Below are 5,364 nucleotides of genomic sequence, written 5' to 3'. Positions count from 1 at the left end.
TTCTCCTGCCCAGAGGGACCGTTTCCTCCAGCGTGGGTCGGGTGCTTCTGCGCCCGGAAAGAGCGCCAGCTCCTCCTTCGGGTGACCCAGGGAGCGGGGCTGCAGGCAAAGGCGCAGGCGGCCAAAAAGGTGCCAACCGGGTCCTGTGGCTTTCAGTTGTCTCTGCCCACCCAATTCACACCATCTTTCCCCCTCAGCCGCCTGTCCTGGGACTTCAGGCTCAGCACCAAACGCAGCAAAAGTAGGTGCACAGAGAGCGGGGTCAGCTCACGCAGCCCGAGCAGAATGGCTGTGCTGCCGCCCCAGGCCCGCGGCCACCGCTGTGTGTGTGGCAGGAGTCAGCCCCCCAGCGTGGGGCCCCGAAGCCCGCGGTCCTTCCACGGGGAGGGCCAGGCCCGCAGGGCGCAGACGATGGGGGACAGGCTGCGCCAGCGCTCGCCTGAGGCCCCGCACACAAACCTCAGGCCCATGGGTCCGCTCCGCGGGGCAGGCGTCGTGGGCCCAAGGAGGCCAGGCCAGGAGTCTCGGCCTCGGGGTTACGCGGCGGCGGGCAGCTCTTCCGCTCCGCTCAGGGTGCTGCTAACCCACAGCCAAGCAGCGACCCGCAGGACCGGCGAGAACCCCGCCACTGACTCCGGCCGGAAGAGAACGTGCAGAGATGTACGTCACTTCCGGGGCGTGGCGTGGCCGGGCGTGGCCGTCCCGCCCCTGGCGGCGTGCCTGGTGCCCTGTTCCGCGTCTGTGCGACCGTCCGTCCCGAGCGCGCAGCCGCGGCAGGTGCGGGGCGGGACCGGGGGCGCCCGGGGTGGGGGGCGTAGGGGGCGCTCGGGTTGGGGGTGGGACAGGGGACGCGCGGGGTGGGGGAGGAGACGGGACCCGGGGTACGCGGGGGTGGGGCGGGTGAGAGGTGCGCAGGGTAGGGGAGTAGGGGGCGCGCGGGGTGTGGGGCTGGACCAGGGGCGCGCGGGGTGGGGGCGGTGGGAGGCGCGCGGCGTGGGGGTTAGAGGGCGCGCAGGGTGGGGGACGGGACCGGGGACGCGCAGGGTGGGGGGCGGGACCGGGGGCGCGCGGGGTGGGGGCGGGACCGGGACGCACGCGGGATGGCGGAGTGGGAGGCGCGCGGGGTTGGGGGTGCTCCTGCGTCCGGTGTGCACCCCATGGCCCCCGCCAGGGAGACCGAGTCCGGGCCAGGGGCCGGAATCGCGGGGCGCGGGCCGGGGCTGGGGTTGGGGTTGGGATCGGGATCGGGATCGGGATCGGGATCCGGGTTCCCCGCGGCTTCAAGTTTTCTCTCGCTGTTACGAGGGCGTGGGAGGCGCGGCCGTGGGGTGGGGTGGGGCCAGGTCCGCGATGTGCTCACCCTGGTCTCTCAGGACCGTTGCCTTTGCGGCTATTTTTTGTGCAATCCCCGAAGCCTGCGTTTCCTGCTGCCTGGGTTCGGGGCGGGGGCATCGCGCAGGCCAGAACGGCCCCTGCGTCCGTAGGCCAGAGCCCCTGCCATCAGCCCCTTTAGGGTGCTCGCCGGCTGTCGGGTGTGGGGGTATGCCAGGCCCCGGAGGACTCGGCTTCCCCGCTAACCCGACCCGCCGCACCCCACCCAGGCCAGGTCAGAGCAGCCCACCATGGGATGGGGAGGGGGTGGAGGCTGCACCCCGCGCCCACCCATCCACCAGCAGCCGCCGGAGCGCCGCGTGGTCACCGTTGTCTTTCTCGGCCTCCTGCTGGACCTCCTGGCCTTCACGCTGCTGCTGCCCCTGCTGCCCGGGCTGTTGGAGAGCCACGGCCGTGCCCACGTGAGTCCTTGCCCTGCGGCCCACAGTGCCCCCTGCCCCCCAGGCCCATCAGACCTCCCCAGCCCTTATCGTGATTCCTCATCCCCTAGGACCCCCTCTATGGCTCCTGGCAGGGCGGGGTGGACTGGTTTGCCACCGCCATCGGGATGCCAGTGGAGAAGAGGTACAACAGTGTCCTGTTCGGAGGTATGGCTGGCTCTGTGCCCTTGGCGGGCTCTCTACGGTCCTATGTTTGGTGGACGTGGTCCAGCCCAGGCCCCTCCCCAATTCTCGGTCCTTGCCTTCCCACTCCCTGGGCTGGCATGTCTGGTGCCCTTGCCCACATGTCCTGGCTTCTGGGCATGATCCCTTGCCTCCGCGTGTCACGTTCAGATCCTTCCTCATCTCTCCATTGGGGCCCCCTCGGCTCAAGGGCCATGGCCTGTGAGTGTAGGGCCCAGCATGACTGGACCCTCAGGACGGGGCTGGACATTGGCCTTGAGGGCCCCAAGACCACAGCTCATGGTGCCAGGCAGCCCCATGATGGTGACATCTGTCTCTCAGGTCTCATTGGCTCGGCATTCTCTGTCCTGCAGTTTCTGTGTGCGCCACTCACTGGGGCCACCTCTGACTGCTTGGGGAGGCGCCCGGTGATGCTGCTGTGCCTGGTATGTTCCTGGGCCTGGGTGCCCATGGGGAAGCCTCCTCCCACCCAGCCAGTAGCCCCATGGGGTTAGGTGGGGAGAGGGAGGTGGCTGTGGGCCCCTCATGGCCACTGGTTGGCCCTCATCGCATCCTGGAGGGGGTTCTCGGGGGACCAGTGGCTCCTGTTCCAGAGCCAGGCTTTCAAGGAGCTGCTCCTGGCCCCTAGGAAGGCACTGAGAACGCAAGTGGCCCTCAGATGCTTCGAAATAGGGCAGGGTTGAGGGGTGTTGTCTGGGTTGCCAAGCCCTACTCTGAGCCACTCCTGGCCTTAAGCGACCGCCCCTGCCTCTTGGCCCCTGCCCCTGGGCAGATGGGTGTGGCCACCTCATATGCAGTCTGGGCCACCTCTCGGAGCTTTGCGGCCTTCCTGGCCTCCAGGCTGATTGGGGGCATCAGCAAAGGGAACGTCAGCCTCTCCACGGCCATCGTTGCTGACCTGGGCTCGCCTCTGGCCCGCAGTCAAGGCATGGTAAGTGCACAGGCTGGGCCTTTGGGGTCCTGGTGGTGACTTCTGGGCCTGGGTCTCCCTGTGCAGCTCGGGTGGTCTTTTCCCTAGGCGGTCATTGGGGTGGCCTTCTCACTGGGCTTCACCCTGGGCCCTATGCTCGGAGCCTCCCTGCCCCTGGAAATGGCACCCTGGTTTGCCCTGCTCTTCGCAGCCTCCGACCTGCTGTTCATCTTCTGCTTCCTGCCAGAGACGCTGCCCCTGGAGAAACGGGTAGGGCTGTGGTCTGGGACCCACAGGCCTAGGGGCTGGAGGCTTGATTCCATAGCGATGTAAAGTGCCCCTGTGTGCCAGCCCCAGATGCCAGGGAGGCTGGGCCGCTCTCTTGGTGTTGGGACCCTTGAGGCCACAGTCCGTGGGTTGCCAGGCCAGCAGCCGCTCCTGCAGGCTCTCCAATGCCATCCCCACAGGCGCCCTCTATCGCCCTGGGGTTCCGTGATGCGGCTGATCTGCTCAGCCCCCTGGCCCTGCTGCGCTTCTCGGCTGTCGCTCGTGGCCAGGACCCACCCTCTGGAGACAGTAAGGACTCGACCAACCCAAGCGTGGAGCCTGCTCTCCCCTGGGCTTCCCCGGGCGGCGCCCTTCCCTGCTGTGGTCGCCTTCTCAGCACGCGCCACCTCTCCCCAGGGCTCAGCAGCCTGCGCCGCCTGGGCCTAGTCTACTTCCTCTACCTCTTCCTGTTCTCGGGCCTGGAGTACACGCTGAGCTTCCTCACACACCAGCGCTTCCAGTTCAGTAGGTGGGTCCCCATCTGGCGACGGCCTGCTGTCTCCCTGAAATAACGCCCCTGCTTCAGGGAAGCAACCCCCATCCCCAGGAAGCCTTGGCAGCCACTCTCGCCCTGGCCCTGCCCTGGGTGGCCCTGCCCCGGGTGCCCTGCACTAACACACCCGCTCCCAGCCTACAGCAGGGGAAGATGTTTTTCCTCATCGGCCTCACCATGGCCACCATCCAGGGTGCCTATGCCCGGCGGATCCACCCTGGCGGGGAAGTTGCTGCCGTGAAGCGGGTAGGGGGCTCCCTCCAAAGCGGGTGGCAGGCAGTCCCCTGAGTCCTGCAGGGCACGGGCTGTGCTGAGGCTGCCGTGCCCACCTGCAGGCCCTCCTGCTGCTGGTGCCCGCCTTCCTCCTCATCGGCTGGGGACGTTCTCTGCCCGTGCTGGGCCTGGGGCTGCTGCTCTACTCCTTTGGTGAGTGGCCCTGCCCTGGCAGGGGATCCGATGGGCAGCAGGGGCTGGGTGATGCACCCTCCCCTGGGCTGACGGGCACCTCCTCGATGTCTCCCACCAGCCGCCGCCGTTGTGGTGCCCTGCCTGTCCTCCGTGGTCGCTGGCTATGGTGAGCCCCCTTCCCTCGGCCGAAGCCACCTGAGCGGGAGAAGGGCAGTGGTGCCTGACTGTGCCTCTTCCCACAGGCTCACCAGGGCAGAAGGGCACGGTCATGGGTACACTGCGCAGCCTAGGTGCTCTGGCCAGGGCCGCGGGGCCCCTGGTGGCCGCTTCAGGTGAGGGCGCGGGATGGTGCTGGGGCAGGCTGGGGGCCAAGCACCTGCCCTCGCCTCCCAAGTGCCAGCCCCCTCGGGGACTGGGTGACGCCACCGTCTCTCCGCAGTGTACTGGCTGGCCGGGGCCCAGGCCTGCTTCACCACGTGGTCCGGGCTCTTTTTGCTCCCCTTCTTCCTCCTGCAGAAGCTGAGTTACCCGGCACAGACGCTCAAGGCTGAGTAGCTGAGCCACTGTGCCCAGGCTGTGGGCACCAGGCAGAGTGGGAGCCTAGGTCAGGCCCCTGCCCACTGCCTGACCCCCACCCCCCGCCAGTCCAGGGAGACCCTGTGGGTGGGGGCCGGCCCCTAAGCAGGAAGCTCAGGCAGCTCCTCCAGACTTACTTACTCCTTCAGTGACTCCGAGCTGCAGCACTCCAAGGCTGTCAGGGCTTCTGTTTGTTTTTTAAACTATGCACCAGGTTTCTGATGATGAAATAAAGCACCTGTTTGTTTTATACCAAGTGCCTTTCGCCATATATAGCCGTGCTTCTACCCACACCAGGAAAGGCAGCTGGAGCTGAATGAATGGCTCCACTGACCGGAAGGGTCCAAGGCTCTTTGAGACCCTCAGTTTCCCCCTCTGCACAGTGGCAGCCTGGGGACTCACTCAGGCAGGCTCCTCCAAGGCTGGGGTCAGCCCTGGCCAGGTGGTATCTGGCAGTGTGCCCCGCACCCTGGCAGGATGTCCCCAGCACAGAGCCCTCCCCATCAAACATGAGCACACAGTGACAGTGAGACTGGGACCATGGGGACAAGGACAGGCCAGCAGTTCCCTGGACACCCTGAGTTCCCGTGGAGAGGGACACCAGGAGTGCTGGGTGGCACGTCCTGCCGCACGCG

At 67.3% G+C, this 5,364-nt stretch overlaps 1 protein-coding gene across 6 annotated transcripts, besides 9 other annotated features; it reads left to right on the top strand.

Annotated features, from left to right (window-relative positions):
* Positions 272-381: a silencer, noted in NCBI's record as "silent region_15194". NCBI's record gives its function as "represses an Ori minimal core promoter by ATAC-STARR-seq in GM12878 lymphoblastoid cells {active_cell/tissue: GM12878}" and the evidence as "EXISTENCE:reporter gene assay evidence [ECO:0000049][PMID:35858748]".
* Positions 542-851: a silencer, noted in NCBI's record as "silent region_15193". NCBI's record gives its function as "represses an Ori minimal core promoter by ATAC-STARR-seq in GM12878 lymphoblastoid cells {active_cell/tissue: GM12878}" and the evidence as "EXISTENCE:reporter gene assay evidence [ECO:0000049][PMID:35858748]".
* SLC75A1 (solute carrier family 75 member 1) lies at positions 721-4,979 on the top strand. 6 transcript variants are annotated; one of them, NM_001146069.2, is made up of 13 exons: positions 721-777; positions 1,602-1,793; positions 1,883-1,979; positions 2,337-2,440; positions 2,788-2,946; positions 3,034-3,195; positions 3,393-3,501; positions 3,610-3,721; positions 3,883-3,991; positions 4,081-4,171; positions 4,272-4,319; positions 4,396-4,485; positions 4,593-4,979. In NM_001146069.2, the coding sequence occupies exons 2-13, from the start codon at positions 1,623-1,625 to the stop codon at positions 4,706-4,708; spliced, it is 1,368 nt and encodes a 455-aa protein (NP_001139541.1). In that variant the 5' UTR covers positions 721-777; positions 1,602-1,622; the 3' UTR covers positions 4,709-4,979. The 6 variants fall into 6 exon arrangements, with proteins under 6 accessions (NP_001139541.1, NP_001350608.1, NP_001397632.1 ...); NM_001363679.2 differs by lacking the exon at positions 3,883-3,991; NM_001410703.1 differs by having other exon boundaries at positions 4,396-4,979.
* Positions 1,081-1,300: a silencer, noted in NCBI's record as "silent region_15192". NCBI's record gives its function as "represses an Ori minimal core promoter by ATAC-STARR-seq in GM12878 lymphoblastoid cells {active_cell/tissue: GM12878}" and the evidence as "EXISTENCE:reporter gene assay evidence [ECO:0000049][PMID:35858748]".
* Positions 1,081-2,008: a biological region, named in NCBI's record as "H3K27ac-H3K4me1 hESC enhancer GRCh37_chr4:2935265-2936132".
* Positions 1,141-2,008: an enhancer, noted in NCBI's record as "H3K27ac-H3K4me1 hESC enhancer chr4:2935265-2936132 (GRCh37/hg19 assembly coordinates)". NCBI's record gives its function as "activates a minimal SCP1, AML or CMV promoter by ChIP-STARR-seq in naive H9 embryonic stem cells {active_cell/tissue: H9 hESC(naive)}" and the evidence as "EXISTENCE:reporter gene assay evidence [ECO:0000049][PMID:30033119]".
* Positions 2,101-2,230: an enhancer, noted in NCBI's record as "active region_21202". NCBI's record gives its function as "activates an Ori minimal core promoter by ATAC-STARR-seq in GM12878 lymphoblastoid cells {active_cell/tissue: GM12878}" and the evidence as "EXISTENCE:reporter gene assay evidence [ECO:0000049][PMID:35858748]".
* Positions 2,251-2,480: an enhancer, noted in NCBI's record as "active region_21201". NCBI's record gives its function as "activates an Ori minimal core promoter by ATAC-STARR-seq in GM12878 lymphoblastoid cells {active_cell/tissue: GM12878}" and the evidence as "EXISTENCE:reporter gene assay evidence [ECO:0000049][PMID:35858748]".
* Positions 3,201-3,250: an enhancer, noted in NCBI's record as "active region_21200". NCBI's record gives its function as "activates an Ori minimal core promoter by ATAC-STARR-seq in GM12878 lymphoblastoid cells {active_cell/tissue: GM12878}" and the evidence as "EXISTENCE:reporter gene assay evidence [ECO:0000049][PMID:35858748]".
* Positions 3,671-3,740: an enhancer, noted in NCBI's record as "active region_21199". NCBI's record gives its function as "activates an Ori minimal core promoter by ATAC-STARR-seq in GM12878 lymphoblastoid cells {active_cell/tissue: GM12878}" and the evidence as "EXISTENCE:reporter gene assay evidence [ECO:0000049][PMID:35858748]".

The sequence above is a fragment of the Homo sapiens genome, chromosome 4, assembly GCF_000001405.40.
Source record: "Homo sapiens chromosome 4, GRCh38.p14 Primary Assembly".
Lineage (NCBI taxonomy): Eukaryota > Metazoa > Chordata > Mammalia > Primates > Hominidae > Homo > Homo sapiens.
The sequence above is the reverse complement of the archived record's forward strand: the minus strand, read 5'-3'. Positions and strand labels throughout refer to the sequence as shown.

Bases quoted from the DNA above. Each gene is read 5' to 3' on its own strand.
- SLC75A1 (NM_001410703.1), top strand. From the start codon at position 1,623: ATGGGATGGGGAGGGGGTGGAGGCTGCACCCCGCGCCCACCCATCCAC. The intron at 1,980-2,336 runs GTATGGCTGGCT...TCTGTCTCTCAG, and splicing joins CAACAGTGTCCTGTTCGGAG to GTCTCATTGGCTCGGCATTC. The intron at 2,947-3,033 runs GTAAGTGCACAG...TCTTTTCCCTAG, and splicing joins TGGCCCGCAGTCAAGGCATG to GCGGTCATTGGGGTGGCCTT.